General features: G+C 44.7%; 1 protein-coding gene across 4 annotated transcripts in view; it reads left to right on the forward strand.

Moving 5' to 3' along the window:
* Positions 1–16,886, forward strand: part of TMEM178B (transmembrane protein 178B) — a 437,233-nt gene that overhangs the window by 379,524 nt on the left and 40,823 nt on the right. The window contains exon 4 of one of the 4 annotated variants that reach the window (XM_011515705.3): positions 3,130–4,047. The exons of the other annotated variants lie outside the window; for them this stretch is intronic. Within the exon in view, the coding sequence (XP_011514007.1) occupies positions 3,130–3,269 (140 nt within the window). The 3' untranslated portion in view covers positions 3,270–4,047. Of the gene's footprint in view, positions 1–3,129; positions 4,048–16,886 lie in introns of those variants that run through there. 4 annotated transcript variants of the gene reach the window in all.

Here is a 16,886-nt window from a genome sequence, read left to right on the forward strand (position 1 = left end):
TGACAAGTGCTATAACAGGGCAGATTGTGGGAATATGGACAAAGGGAGCCTCCCTCTGCTGGGGAGTCAAGAGGCCTCACAGGGGAGCTAATGGTTGAGGCTGAAGCAGGAATGCCCCGTTCTTCTCATTGCCCCTCGAAGGGCTTTCAATGTCCATCTATCAAAGGAAACTGCTCCTAGACCTAGAACTAGCAACTTTTCAGAAGCAGTATGCCAAGTCTTTATTTATTCATTCTAGTTTAGGATTTCACATGTCATTAATAGATTTCCATTTTTATATATCCCTATGTAACTAAACTCTGTTGTGAATGAAGCAAAAAATCCCTTTTATCTAAAAAAAAAAAGCTTAAGCAGCTTTACATAAAGTTAAAATCTAAATCTAGTATGATATTTGACCCTCCAATTTGGGCCCTGGGTAACAGGGAATGTCAAGAGCTGTGTCCTTCCCATTGCCACCCTAGCAAAACCTAAGAATCTCTTCTTGAAGTTTCTGCCACACTCCCAGGCACAATTTATTTAAAATAATAATTAATATAATTACCCCTCTGGCTCAGCTCTTAACATTTTCAGATAAGTTCGATCAAAATCACATTTCCCAAAAGCCTCTGGCTCACGGCTTTTTATAGCCCCTGAGTTAGCATGGCTAAGGGAAGTGGGGCAGCCATTCTCTTCTCACCTCGGCATTCCATCTAGACCCCATGTCATAAAGTAGGAAACTTCTCTCCTCTCTTTAGGAGGATGCAGACTCCAGCTTTTAAGGCCTTACAGAGAAGTGACTGCCTTCTCTGATGGTGACATTGGTGGGAGAGAAAGCCAAGCACGTGGGGCCCAGTACCCTTTGGGTCCCCTCCCCTTGCTCACGTCTCCATGTGGTCAGCCTTCCTGGGGTCAGGGCCCAAGACCCAGGCCAGCTTCAGGAGGCCACTTTGGGGACCTTTCTTCCTTTCCTCCTCTCCTCTTCTCTCCTCTCTCTCCTCTCTCTCCTCTCTCTCCTCTCTCTCCTCTCTCTCCTCTCCTTCCTCTCCTTCCTTTCCTTTCCTTTCCTCACCCACCAATATGAGTCAACACTTCTGGGTTAGTGTATCTGCTCTACAGATTCAAACGTTCCCTCCTAAAATGTAAACCTGGAGAGAAAGTATTGGGGATCTTGACTGTGGCCATGGGACAATGGAACAAGCCACAGTTGCCACTGTAGACTTGTCAGTAACAGAGCTGGTATATTTCTCCTCATCTGCCTCCTTTCTGTGGTTCTTTTCTCATTAGAGTTTGAATTCAGAAGGGTGCGGAAGATGAGTCAATAATTCTCATTCCTCGAATAAACCCCCGAGAGGAAAGTAGAGCTAAAAGGGCTGCCAGGTAGAGACCCATTCCCAAGGCAGAGGGCTTGGGGGAGGGCCTGAAGGGAGAAGAGGACATTCCTGATGGGCTGAAGTCCATGCTGAGCTCCTTTGGGCCCTCTTCTGACCACCAGCTTCCTCTGTCCACTGGTTTAGTCCCTGACCTGTTGAGAAGCTACAGGGATTCTCATTGAAAGAGATTTAGTGCTCTGATCTTGATTCATTTCCTTTCTTGACCTCTCTATCCTAATCCTTATAGAAAACTCGTGTCCCTTCAGAAGGAGTCACCCTTCTACCTGACACAAATAATGTGTGAAGTTGTGTACAGGTTGTGATAGGCTTCCCTAGTTCTATGAAGTAGTCAGATTTTACCAACTCAGCCTGAGTCTGAAGGGCCCTCAGAACCTCCTTGGGGCCACATTGGATAATGATAAGCCCTCTTCTTCCAATCTCACCAGCTAGTTGATGAATCATATTTAAACACCACTGTGTGTAGGGTCCTACTGGAGAAGAAGAGAGATTCTCTGCTTATATTAATTTCAGTGCAACTGGAGAGACAATCATACAGGTGTACATGAAATTGCTGTGATGAGAGGCAACTTAAAAAGTGGCTAAAGCATGGGTTTGAATCCTGGCTGTAGTATTTACTGTGTGGCCTCAGGCAAATTATTTAACCTCTCTGTGCCTCATTTTCCTCATCTAAACCTTACAACGTTGCTTCGAGGATTAAAAGAGTTAACATTTGTAAAGCTCTTGGAACAATGTCTATCATATTATAAACATTACATGCAAATGATTTATCCATATAAAGCTATGTATGCATTCAGTGACCCAGTGGTGGGGTGACAGCATGCAAAATTCACTTGGGTTTAGGTTTTCATCTCAGAGAAAGGCTAGGGCCAAGCTGACAAATGTGCTGGGCATATGGAAACATAGCCAAACCAGGTGGCAGGCTTGCCTGATCTTTTGGCTACCACCCCAAGCTTCTCCCTCTACTAATTAACATGGCATTGGCTTGAATCAGATAGGGCAGAAGCCGGAGAGATTTCATTCAGGACACAATTTATTCCAGACACTTAAACAGCTGGGGCCCAATCCTTCCATGCTTAGAATCAAGGCAGTTTAGAGCTGAGCCTCATATGCACATTGATGTCAAATAATGACATCTAATGGTCTCATCCACCACCCCTTCTGTGCATGTCAGGAGGTGAGAAGCAGTAGCCTCTCTCCAGATAGTTCATGTTTGACAAAATAAGTGGCAGCTAGTCCTAGAGCAAGTCAGAGAGAATGGCACCTTCTTACCCCAATATCTAGAGTCATAGGATCATTTAGATGAAAAAGAAGGACCATAGAGATCTGGTCCTACCCCTGTATTTTATGGTTAAAGGGATCATGATCCAGAGAGATGAAGTGATTTGCCCACTTATGGGCAAGGATGGGACCAGATTCTTGGTAGTGTACACTTTCCACAAAACCACACCCTTGTATGTTGTAGCTCCCCTACCAGGAAGCTGGTACAGGCTGTCCTGATGTACCCCCTGGTCAAGAGAACCTTATGACTACCAAAACAGGAATTCAAATGCAATGATAGATCTGTGTGTCCTGGGCCTCATGCCAGCCCTGGGGGAGTGATGCGGCTTTCTTTGCAAAAGCCTTGCATGGTACCTAGAAGATGAATGGCCAGAGCAACCAGGAAGATGCAGTGTCAGAAAAGGTCTGCAGGAAGTTCTGTATTATTGTAAGTCTCGTTCCCAGCAAGAAACCCAGGGTAAGGTTTCCCTCTGCCCTACAGATTCTCCAAGTTTGCTCCACGGACCATTGTCATTCACCAGAAAGAGTTGGCTAGAAGAAGGTGAGAGAAGAAAAGCAGGGGCAGGAAGATGGCACGCTCTAAGTGGCTTCACTCTTGGAAGCACACTAATCACAGCTTGAGGATGCTCCTTACTGCACAGCTGTAGGTGCCACTCTCAGTTTCGTTAAGAAGCCAGTTGGATCCCACTAACTCTCAGCTCTGAACCAAGGCCCAGATGGATAAGAAGCTGCAAAGATTCACTTGGAAAGAATATGGATGGTGCACTCTTAATTTGTTTCCTTTCCAGAACTGTCCTTCCCATCCTATATAGAAAGCTCATAGCAGATCTTCACAACTTTTCATTTCACGGGGAGCATGAAATATCCAAGGCCAGGTGGGCCAAGTGGAGTGGGCTAGAGGTTACTTCCCCTGGAGGATTGTTTTTTTAATGAAAGCAGTGGAAGCAAGTGGAATGGATGGTTCTCAGATGTTTCTGCAGCCAAATAATTTGAGGCTTTACAGCAAAATCAAATGTTTGCACTGTCACATGCTTTGAGACCTTCAGCAAATTATTTAGCTTGGGATGACTATGTCAATTACATAATTTATTTGCTGTATATATCCTAATATACCCACATATAAAGAGGTGTATATATATAATTTCCATAGGCATATATATGTATGTATGTGTGTATACATGTGTAGATCTGTATAATCTCACAGCAACCCCAAGAGATACAGAAGATACAGAAACTGAGGCCGAACTTAATTCAGTCTATGCCTGAATTAATCACTGTGACTACAGAATGGCTTCCTCATAAGAAAGAATAGTGGTGATGTTTTAACCAAAGGAAGAAAGAAGGAGTGTATGCTATGTAGATTAAAACTAATAAAAATGCCACTCTCACAGTCATTTAATAAGAAAGTGTGGGGTAACCATCAATGGCAGCTCTATATTCCAGAGAAGCCAGGGTCAGAACCTCTGTAGCACTTACAAAAGGTCCCCAACTTGGATATTTACTGCAGGATTCTTTGTAATACTGAAAAACATGCAACTGTGCAAACATCCATCAGTGTGGAGGAATGGTAAACTTGGTACATGCATGCAGTGTAACATATTTTGTGGTTAAGATTTTGATGTATAGGCATGGAATGTTATCAAAAGCACATTAAGTGGTCAAAGCCAGATACAGAAGAGTAGGTATGATTTTATAGGTATAAAACTTACAAAAATGTATAAGAACAGAAAGAAAAATGGAAAGAGTACACACCACACTGTTGGCAGTGTTGGTTGAAAGTGATGGGAAAGTCAAGTAGGAAGAAGGACAGTATCTATTTGAGTCATATATCCCTTTCTAGATGGATGGTGACCTTTTCTCTCAACTTTTTATTACTTTTTGTTTGTTTGTTGTTTATTGTTTGAGATGAAATCTCACTCTGTAGCCCAGGCTGGAGTGCAGTGGTGTGATCTCAGCTCACTGCAACCTTCGTCTCCCGGGTTCAAGCAATTATCCTGCCTCAGCCTCCTGAGTAGCTGGGATTACAGGTGCGTGCCACCACACCCGGCTGATTTTGTATTTTTTAGTAGAGACTGGTTGAGATATGAGCCTAACAAGCTTCTTCACAGACCCACCAATGTCATCATGTACCCCCACTGGAGGCTGTAAACTCTTAGATCTAGGAGATAAGTTCCATTACCAAGGAGGATCTGTCTCAGAAGTGTATCTTGAGATCCTTCCAAGTTCCATGCTTCTGGTTCTGACAAAGCCCACAGAATGAAGGGTCCTGAGTAAGCACTTCCTCTGTTCTCTGTTGAGAGCAGTTGCTCCCCAGAGTAGCATTTACAAACCTGGGGTGGGATTGAAGGAGAATGGAGTGGGTGATGGAGATGAAAACAGGAAACATTTTTTTTTTGTCCTTGAGAACAATTTTTCTTCAATCTCACTTAAAGCTTTCCATTTCTAATATTATACCTTACATGTAGAAAGCAATTTTAACTCTTCACATTCATTATTATGGCTCTTCAAAATAATCCTGCAGAGAGGGTATTATTCTGATGCTGAAGTCCTGCAAAAAAAGAAAACTGCTTTCCAAAATCCAAGGTGTCCATTGAAACACAAGGTGTGTACGTGCATGGGTGCATGCACCTGTGCGCACGCACACACACACACATACACACAAACACAGCAATATAATGCACAAACACCTCAGCAATCACATAACAATTTAAGAAAGGGGAATGAGGGGACAAGGCATAGTGTGTTTACTTCATTCTCCTTTAGATTTCAATGTTTTTTTGGTTTGTTTGTTTGTTTGTTTGTTTGTTTTTTGAGACAGAGTTTCACTCTTATTGCCCAGGCTCGTGTGCAATGGCGTGATCTCGGCTCACTGCAACCTCCGCCTCCGGGGTTCAAGCAATTCTCCTGCCTCAGCCTCCCGAGTAGCTGGGATTACAGGCATGCGCCACCACTCCTGGCTAATTTTGTATTTTTAGTAGAGACAGGGTTTCTTCATGTTGGTCAGGCTGGTCTCGAACTCCCGACTTCAGGTGATCCACCGCCTCGGCCTCCCAAAGTGCTGGGATTACAGGTGTGAGCCACCACGCCCGGCCAATGTTCATATTTTTAGTTATAAGCTGCACAGCCTAGAAATCCCATTTGTCCAAGTGACATGGATTGAATGCTCAGTGCTGTGTGGGATACCAAAGGAGACACCACCACGCCAGTTCTTGAGAAATTCACAGGCTGGCTGAGCACAAGCTCAAACAGAGGATAGGAGGTGCAATTAATTGGTAGCTTGCTGTTTCGGACCATAAAAATTTTAAAGATTCAGAAAAAGTGTGGATAATCTCGTGCTAGGCATACTTGGGGAAGATGTCTTGGGAGATTCAGGACTAGGATTAGAACATAATGGGTAATTTCAAAGACTGTGTAGACTGCATGGAGGATGAGAATTTCAGACTCCAGTCTAGGAGACAGGACAATGGCACTTTGACCTTAGTAAATTCCCATTGTAATGAAACCCTTTGAACACGCTGCCAATGTCCCCTTCCATTTGCTCAGTCCTTGGGATGGCTTCAGAAGTTTGTAAAGGCTCTAGCTTCAGTGTAGAGTCTTCCAGGGCCACTGATCTTGTGATCCAATCTAAACTTACACCCAAAAGAACAAATGGATTGAAGGGAGCTGAGTGGGAGTGAGCATAATTACCTGGGTGAGGGAGAATAGATGGAGAAAAAAAAAAAAAAAAGAACACAAGATGCCTAACAGGTATTATTTTCTGTGGCTATGTCAGATGCATGTTCTGGCTAGAGGATGGCCACAAGGTCTGGCCACACAGATATTCTTATTTCATCCTGTGTTGCAAAGTAATATTAATAAGCCAATTATTGTATATTCACCTATTGTATTACTTTGTCAGGGATGCTATGACAAAATACCACAGATCAGGTGGCTAAAACATTACAAATTAATTTTCTTACAGTTCCGGAATCCAGAAGTCCAATCTCAAGGTGCCAACAGGGTTGTTTCCTCTGAAGCCTCTCTCCTTTGACTTGCAGATGGCCTCCCTCTTCGGCCTCTGCACAAGGCCGTCCCTCTGCGTGTGCACGCACCTGGTGTCTCTTTGTATGTCCCAAGCTCCTCCTCTTATAAGGACACCTGTCAAATTTGATTAGGGCCCACCCTAATGGCCTCATTTTAATTATCTCTTTAAGAGCCCAATCTCCAAATGTAGTCACATATGAAATACTAGGGGTTAGGGTTTCAACGTGAATTTTTCAAGGGCAAAATTCCTGTGTTTCCATGGCCATCCGTAGATGTGTAAAAACCAAGGGAGAAGACTCCAGGTTCTAGGATAGGAATCTGGATGTATTCTCTTTGGAAGTGAGGCCAGCCTCTATGGATGGACCAGTCCCTGTAGTCGCTTGAGTTGGGATGCTGTGTTGCTGTGGAAAGCTCACACCTGGGTGCAGAGCAGTCGTGTCGTGTATAGACACAGCCTCAGGAACACAAACCCTGCTTGCCCCAGAGGCTTGACTCCCGAGTTCCACTCCTGGCAGAGTCCTCCTGGAGTCTTTGCACAGCTTGCAGAATGATCAGTGATTTTTGCCCCAACTCAGAGCCCCATCCCACTCAGCATGTTATCTTTCTGAACACATCCACCCTCCCCTGCCTCATCCCGACAAATCCCTAAGGCGCCTTTGATGTAAAACCCTGTGACCTGCCTGTTGAGTGCTGATGATGCAATCGTGTATAATTCAGCAGTAATTTATATTCCGTGCAGGTCTGAACAAAGCTGTAAAATGCTCTCGAGAGCTAAATGCGGCTGAAGCATTTAATCTAAGCAAAGGCAGGGTTTTGTATCATCTACTTCCCAGGACGGATGTGCCACTGTTGAAGGAGGAGGCCCTCTCCTTCTGTTTGCTGATTTGGTTCTTGTTGGTTTTAAAGATTGGAGAGGGAATAGAGGGAGGTGTCTCATGGAGGACTTGGCTGCTTCTTCTCTGACCTCCCTGATACACAGCCACGTGGGTGTTTCTGCAGAGCCTGCCTTGCAGCGACCTGTAGGGCTCCAGTCAGAACATAGGCCCTCTCTCCACATAGCAACAAGAGAGGAAGCCAGGATTGGGGATCCGCAGACACCGTTCCACATTCCTGGGAGCAGAAAATGTCACACAGATGGATATCTGGATCTAGAAACCTGTAGAAATTGTGCACCAGTGAAGTTGTGGGCATAACTTGGTCACATAAGGATTAGATATTTGGGCAAATGCCTGTGCACACAATGTGTAACTGCCCTGAATCTCTGTGAGAAGCCTCGTGAGGGCCTCAGTTTCCTAGGAGACGGCTTCTTGAATTAGTAAGAGCATTTCTGCTGCCTAGCCTGAGGCCTCAATTTTGATGCTGTTTCTCCACAGCGTCCATTGCTGTGTCATGACTGCCGTGGCTTCTCTGAGAATCCCTAAGCGGAGTGGAAACACATGTTCTAGCCTCCCCTTTCTGTGTAGGCTAATCCAGCAACAAGCACACAGGAAGCACTGCCTTGTCCACCTTATACACCTGCAATTAGCACTCAGAGTGAGCTGAGCAGGGAGTTGGCTCCGTAACTCTGCATATCAACTCAGAAATATTTTGGTCATTAACCTTTAAGGTGGTACTAGGAAAGAGCCAATATTGAGTTGGCTGACTAATTCTTTGTTCCCTGGTGACATTTCAGGGTGGCAAAAATTAGCTGCTCCCCAACAGTGCTATCCCTACCTGGCACTTCTAACATTAGCGACGCATTCCAGGGATCCAAGTTTCTGTTTCCTCTGGCTAACGTGGTGCTTTCTAACTTTCAAGCAGGGATTCACTGATGTCGTCACTACAACACTACCTATTGGCCCCAGAGTAGAAAGCGGGACTGTGAGGAAACAGCAGAGAGGGTAGCCAATTGGACTCTCTTAGCCCAGGACTTTCTAGTTTTAGGGCTGAAAGTCCCATGTTCCAGGCACCATCCTCCCTCAAATTGCAGGCAAACTGGAATGGTTAGTCATCCTACTAGGGAAGCAAGACTTTGAAGGAATAAAATAAGTCAGGAACTTACGGAAATTTGGGCTTATGGAGGTAGCACTAAAAATTTGTGTGTGGCCAGGGAACACCTTGAATATACCGTGCCCCTGGGGATGGGGTGTAGAAAGAAAGAAATAATCACATGAACCAGTCGTGGGAGTTCAAGTCAGAGGAGGGGAGGATGTTGCCAGCGAGGACGTGTGATGTGGGGAGAGAGGAGAGCTGGGAACTGCAGGGCTGGAAAGACCAGTGGAGGGTGGTAAGGACTGAGGGGGAAGCCTGGAGCCAGGGCAGCTTGGAAACCGAGGAAAGAGATAGCCAAGCAGGAGGAAGGTGTCAGGTAGCCAAAAAACTAAAATTAGCAAGAAAACTAGAAGCTAATATTTGGCAACCAGAGAAATATTAATGAGGGATGGCAGCAATGTGAATGTGAAGGAGACGGAGGAGGCAGCTATGTTTGGTGCTGGGACAAGGAGTGGGCAATCTGGGCATGAAAGTGGCTTCCTCTCTTTCACACTCACAGTGTGAAGGGGTCCTGGGGGAGCAGCAGGTCCAGAGCACCGAGACTATCCTCCCCTCTTCCAGCCAGGTGTTGACAAGGGCTCAGAGATGGGAGTTGCGAGGTGATGTTGTGGATGTGATTCCTGAAAGAGCTTCAGGAGGGGACAGTCATCAAAGGAAGCATGTGTGTCTACATAGCCCATTCCCCACCTCGGCCATGCCTTCCCACTCACAGGTGTTTACAGACGGGGACACTGGAGCTCAGGGGTCTGCAGGGTGCTGCTGCTTATGTGTCAGCAGGTCTTAACAGCACAGCTCTCAGCCTGCAGCTACTTGGGGTGGTGCCATCCCTTCTTCTAAGTGGACTCCTGAACTCTGAGCCAATGCCAGTGAGAGTCCTGGCACAGAAAGGGTAATTAGTTTTCGTTTCTCATTCCAACCAGCTGCGACTGGCTGGCTCCAGCTAGCTGCCTGGAGGACTGGGTTGAGTAGGAGTCTGAGGTCCCTTCCAGAACCAGCAGGAAGAGGGTTGAGATCAATTTGCTGTTTCTGCCAACAGCATGGCCTTGCCACCCACAGAGCAGCCACTGGACTTTGCCATCCAAAGGACAGTTCCTCCAATGACATACCTTAGCTCCCCTTGCAGATGGACAAAGCCGGTGATTTTCAAAAATATTTATGTCACTGGAATTCTGTCTTCCAATGAAATTTCACATGGAAACAGATCAAATCAAAGCTATTCTGGCCAAATAGAAGAGAGGGTTGGGAGTCTCTTCTACTTCCTGCCCTCCTTCCCAGTGGCAGCTCCTGAGCTGCCGCCATGGATCAGGGTTTGAAAACCACTGGGGGAGATGCTACTTCCGAAGAAGGCCAGGGACAGTCTGAGAGAATGACATTTGAACTGAGATCTGAGCAGAGCTGGAAGAAGGCCCTTCTGGGCATGGGAACAGCCAGTGCAAACAAAGGCCCTGAGGTAGGGCAACCTTCACTGGCTTGAGACAGAATGCTCTCTAGTGTGGCCAGAGTGTAGGGATGGTGGGAGTCAGGGTGATAAACGAGGTTGGCTAGGTAGGCAGGATGCACTCAGGTAAGGCCAGACGCGCAGGATACAGGAATACAGGCATTTGGATTGTGTTCTGAGTGTGATAGAAGCTATTGGAGCGTTTTAAGCAGCAGAGAATCATAATCTGATTAATTTTTTTAAATACCACTGGCTACTCTTTGAGGGCGAAAGTAGAAGGCAGGACTCCAGTGATCTGTTACAGCGGTCTGTGTGAGAAATGATGGAAGCATGACTCAGAGGGTAGCAGCGAGCCTTTCAGAAGTTAGAGGCATAGTAAGTGTTGTCTGCGAGCATGCCGTCTTACCGCAGGCACAGAGCCCTAGGACAATGGGGCACTGAGATGAAAGGAGGGGACCTTTGGGGACCCCTTTCTGTTTACTGTCTGCAGAAACCCTGTCCCTCCTTCAAGACTCTACTCCTGTGGGAAACCCTCCCCGACCTAGCATTGTCATCTGTATCAGAGTATAACTCTTACCAGTTGCTACTGGATATTTATGACTCACGCTCTTCCTAGAGACTTCTAGACTTGGGAGGGAACCTTACAGTCCTCTACTCCAGCTCCCTGATTTTACAGATCGGGGACCCACCATTCAGGGCTGATAACAAACTCAGGTCTCTTCACCCTCAGTCTGATACTATTTTCACTTCATCTTCAACTTTTCATTTATGCACGTCTCATATCTCTGCCTAGAGTATAAGCTTTTTTAAAAAGCTTTTTATTTTAGATTCATTAAAGATTAATTCTTATTTTAGATTGATTAAAGATTCTTAAGGGCAGGGATCATGTCTTATTCTTACTTTGATGTCCCTAGCATGTATCATAAAGCTTGACCCAAAGATAGAAGTTCAACAAATATTTGCTGATTTGCTGTTCTGCATACTAGGGCGCCCACAGCCACAGGAATGTCTCCCTCCTTCCCCATCATCACAGTTACTATGCCACCAATGCCCCCTCCCCAAGACCTGGCATTGCTTACCACCAGCCACCACTCCTACTGTCATGACTGCCCTGGCCAGGGTTATGCCTGGCACTGCTTACAGCCAGTGTGTGGAGCACGCAGCAGAACCCAGCTCCCAAAGGAAGGGTTGGGGGCAGAGTTTTTTCATGTTGTTGTTACACCACGACTACAGTTAGTATTGGAGTCTGAATGGGATTAGGCCCAAACCCCAATTCATAGTGGGCGTTACTAAGAAGATATGACTATGCATTACTATTTATTCTAGTTCTTGGATCCTCACTTATGTATCAATAAATGCTTATGTGAAATACAATGAAGACTTAGCCCCAGAGGCCATGGTCTGCTCCTGCTGGGGAGAGCAGGACTTTTATCTTTCCCATAGAGGGGATGCATACGGACTCTTTTCTGAGTAGAAGCCCCCTCATCTGCATCAGTAGCTCTCCCCAGGCTTGTGCCACTTGCACAAGGGACTGCTGAACTTTGGGTAATGGAGGAGGTTGCAGTTCCCGTGCTGTAATTAGACATCTTTTAATTAGACATCTTTTCCAGCAGAGCCATTTAAAATATTTTCCTAGAGGACCTGCCCCCTAACCTCAGCCAGTCAATGGGGAGGAGTTTTGAATGCCACACTCCCCAGTTTGCCACCAAACCACAGGCAGAGAGTTGTGTTCATCACACTAGACAGAAATCTGTGTCAGTCAGGGTCCTTGCCCATATGTCTCCCCTTTGTCCCCCTCTGTACGGGATTCAATCAATGTTTGTCAAAGCATATCATTACGTAAACTGTCAGAATATGGTGCTGAGTAGGAATGGCACCGCGTTATTCATTCAGTCCCTTTATCGAGGATCTACCATGCACCTACATTTATCTAAATCTAATTATTAGTACACATTTTCAAATTTGAACTTCTATGTGGAGAGGTACATAAAAATATAAATTATTGGCTGGGTGTGGTGGCTCACATTTATAATCCTTATAAGCCCAGCACTTTGGGAGGCCAAGGTGCCTGGATTGCTTGAGCCTAGGAATTCGAGGCCAGCCTGGGCAACATGGTGAAACCCTGTCTCTACAAAAAATTTAAAAATTAGCTGGGCATGGTGGCATGCACCTGTAGTCCCAGCTACTAGGGAGGCTGAGGTGGGAAGATCGCTTGAGCCCTGGAGGCAGAGGTTGCAGTGAGCTATGATTGTACCACTGCACTCTAGTCTGGGCAAGAGAAGAGAACCTGTCTCAAAAAATGTGTATATTAAAAACATATAAATCCTTGCTCATAACAGAAAACAGTAGCATATATGGAAATTAATCAAACCTCTTCCAACTCTTCCCTCTTTGACACATGGAATTTCCAAGCAAGTTGTATCACTGGTCTACTTTAAGGGCCATCTCAAGTGGGAGACATAAAGGTGTTTTCCCATCTATGGGAATATTGACAAGAGCTAACAGAAGGAATTTCAAAAGGTTCCACAGTCACAGAGCAACCAACAGGAAGTGAAGGCAGGAAGATTCCTCATCAACTCTATTAGTACAGCAGAACAGCAAGATGAATGTTATGAAGAAGTTGAGTCATTTTCTACTGGTACTTAGGTCCACCCGGACCTTATCCCTTCACTCCCCATTCATCAGCCACATCCTTTGTGTCTTGCCTGCCCTGCTGTGGAATATGCCATGAGAATCATGTATATCCAGCTTCATCAGCTACTGTCAGCTTGGGAAGACCACAGTTTCCTTGAGGTTGACGTCCTGTTTCAGAACAAATCACTGGACTTCTCCAGCATAGCATGGCTTTTGATAAGAAGAAATTTCTCCATTTCTTTAAGTATCCTCTGTAGAAACAGTTTATATAAAGTCCTTGGGTGACCTCAATCCCATCCACAGCTTCAATTTATGAGATGATGACTCAGACCACATTTCTGGCTCAGAACTTTCTATCAGGCTCCAGATCCATGTTTTCAAATGCCTTGAACATCCCAAGGGTGGCTTGAACTTGAACTCACCTCACTGCCCCCGCTTTCTGTCCTAAATCTAAATTTTAGTAAATTATAGCATTACATATCTAATGATAGGTTCACAAACCAGCAATTGGAAGCATCCACAGTAGGTGAGGCACGAGCAGGCTGGCTTTGGTCTGCTGGAATCTGGTTTATTTGAAACTAATGCCAAGACACAGCTTCCTCTTACTCTCCCACCCCAGGCAATTGCTCTTGCCTTGGCTGTGTCCTACAGGCTGCCTCATTCTCCTCTCCTGCCCCTGCTTCCACCCACCTGGAATCACTTCTCCAGGTCATACAAAGCACCTTTGCCCCACACAAGGATTCAAGCAGGCTGACCAACAGAAGTCATCTTGAGGAACTTGTAAAAACTATAGATTCCCATGCTCTTCCCCAAGACCCTCTGATTCAGGGAGTCTAGGTTGAGACCTAATCCACCCTGGGGACCATCAGAGAATTCAGTCTGAGCCCTAGTGCACAACATGAAAAAAACTATGATGTTCTGTAACTCCCACAAGTTTGGAGTACTGTTCTCACAAGCATTGATGGCACTACACACACACATCACACACATGCACAAATGCATCCACACACATGCACAAATACAAATGCATACATGTGTGACACAAATGCATTTTAGTCATACTGTCACTGTGCCCAGGTCACCTTCCGTTGTTTCTACAAATAATCATTGAGTAAACAATCATCTACTAAGCCATTCGGAGCTCCCAGCTCTGCTCCCACCTTGCCAGACTTGCCCCTTCCCCCTGATGACCACGGCAACCTCCTAACTGGTCTCCCTACCTCTGGGCTGCCCTCTACACTTCTGACTTAGTGGTCTTTGGAAATGCAGATTGAAGTCACCGAAGTGCCTTGACCCTACATGAAGGTCAAACTTCTCAGCTCTGAAAACAGTGCTTGCCCAGTATCTGGGGCTTCATTTGGTCTGCCCTCCGACAGCCGCTCCTCAATGCGCCCTCACCACAGACATCTTCATATCTAAATCTTACACATGTCCATACCTAAATATTTGTCCCCAGGTGGGATTATTTTCTTAAAGTGAAATTACTAGGACGAAGGTATGAGTATTTTAAAAATCACCTTTCTGCAAGGAAACACCAGCTTACACTCGCCCTGGAGTCTATGGGATTGTCTATTTTACTGCCCCCTTACTAGTTTTGGAGATGATCTTTCAAAAAAAAAAAAAAAAAGCAAAACAACAATAAAATAAAACAAAGTGTTGCTGATTTGATAGATTATCATTATGCTTTTAATTTTCAATTCTTTGGTTATTGGTAAAATTGACCATTTTTCACATGTACAATCCATTTGTATTTCTTCCTCTGGATCTGGGCTTTGGCCGATTAAGTTTTATCTTTCTCCAGTAAAAACTTGTTTCAAATCCTATAGCTCCAAAGTGTGGTCATTGAGCCAGCAGCATCAGCATGCCCCAAGAACTTCTTCAGGATGCAAATTCTCAGGCCCCCACCCCAGATCTCCTGAACCAGAAACTGTGGGTGTGGGGCTCAGTGATCTGCTTTGAGTCCTCCAAAACTACAAACTGCCCTAACCCATGCCGAGTGAGAGAGAAGGCATCTGGAACCTAGGTGTGAAACAAGGGAAACCCATGAAGTGACCCACTTTGCCTGGCACCAGTTGTAAACAGTACAGTGGATGAGACTGCAGGCTCTGGAACTAGCCTGCCTGAGTTTGTAACCTGACTCTGTCAGTTACTAGCTGTGTGATCTTAGGCAAATGACTTAAGCTCTCTGGGCGTCAATGTCCTTATCAGTAAAATGGGGATAATATAACCCACATCTTAGAGTTGTTTTATGAATTAAGGTTTTAGTACATGCCACAAATTTAGTGAGGCAGTGTCACTGTCTGGGGTAATTATCCGACATTTGTCATCTCACGCCAGGGAACTCGAGGACACAGACACACAAGAAGTGGGTTTAGGACCGGAGGTTTAATAGACAAAAGAAAGAGAAAGGAGAATAGCTCTCTCTCTTGCAGAGAGAGAAGGGTGCCCAAGTGGGACTTCCAGTCTGTGGCGAAGTGCATAGGGTTTTATAGACCGGCTTGAGGTGGCGGCGTCTGATACATAGGGCTCAAAGATTGGTTGAACCGGGTGTGACATTTACATAGGGCACGAAGAAGCTGGCCACCCCATCCTAATCTTTTCATTATGCAAACGGATTTTCTACCTGGCGGGCACCATCTTGTTTCCTCCTTACTGTTCATGTGGTTGACAAAGAAAAGGGAAGATGCAGCCACCATGTTGAACATGCCTAGCCCCCAGGCAGCCTCTTCCTATTGGCACAGCTGCCAGTATGCACCCATGCAAGCTTCCAGCTTGCTTATCTATGTCTGCAGCTCAATTTTACAGGCTGCTCATTTGCTCAAAGAAATGATTTGGGGGTTGCTTTTTATTAAAAGGAAAACCTTACCGAGGACTTCTTTACCCTCACTCTCTGCCTAAATAATTCATTTTTAACCAGTATATCATTAGCACAGTTCCTAGCACATAGCACTTAATACTTATTTTAGGGTCAACTGTGGCCATTTAAATTATCACGAGCTGGTGAGCCTCATTCTTCCACTCTATATTTTCTTCCTTGTCTTCCAGGAAGCTTCTGGAAAAAATTAGGCTAGATCTTAAAGAAACAAGTCTCAATCTTAAAGAAACTTGGCTGTTAGAAAGCAAGAGTTTTAATAATAAATATAAAATTGAATGCACCTCCTTTTGTTCCTTCCCTATAAAAGTGCTTTTCCTTTTTCTTCCTTCCATTGACCCAGCCCAGCCTTCCCAAACTATACATCCTTCTTCTGCTCATTGCTCTCATATCAGTGGTTACATAAAGAACAGAAAACACGGCAAATGCAGAGAAAAGTTATTGAATTCATTTTAGGCACACCAAAAACTTGTTGTATTAGTTTAAAATGGGTTTATAATTCTAAACCATTTTATATCATTCTACCTCTTATAGCAGTTTTCTTATTAGAGACTGATATAAGTAATGTTTTTAAGAGGACGTCCCATCATCAATAAGTTTGTGAAATTCTGCATAAAGTAGGGTAGATGAGTTACCTTAATATTAACGTGGATGATGCGTGTTCATGGGTGAGAAGTCATGAGTAGGATTCCCCGTCTTTTGACTCTGCCTCCCACTTTGTAAAGGATCTCATAGCGTTAGCACTCCAGAGAGAACACTTTGGGAAATGTCTTATAGGAAAAAGGAAAATATTTCCAGGTTTTGGAAGAATTGTTGGTGAACAGATTAAAGGAAAACCTAATACTGTATGAGTAAGTTGTTATGTATAAGAAAGAGAAAAGATTGTTTTTCTCTTTAAAGAAGTAGCAAACAGTAGGTGTTTTCCATGTCTCCAAAGAAATACAATGAATTTAAAATGCTTTAGGAAAATGAACTGAATGCTCTTCTGCTCACTCTACCCCACACAAAATGCTCATGAGATATCTATTTAGCATCTTCCCAAAGGAGAGACTTCCCGAGTGTGTCCAAGACTGGGCCATTATTGGAGAGTGATGAAGTGATGATCCTTTAATACTATTCTCTGCTCCATGAATATTTCCAGATACTGACCTTGGTGATAACCTGCTCTTACCTAGACTTCCCATTTTTCCTACTCAAGAAAATTGAAAATGTAATAATATTAACTTTTCTCTTTCTCTCT

This window comes from Homo sapiens, chromosome 7 (assembly GCF_000001405.40).
Source record: "Homo sapiens chromosome 7, GRCh38.p14 Primary Assembly".
Taxonomy (NCBI): Eukaryota; Metazoa; Chordata; class Mammalia; order Primates; family Hominidae; genus Homo; species Homo sapiens.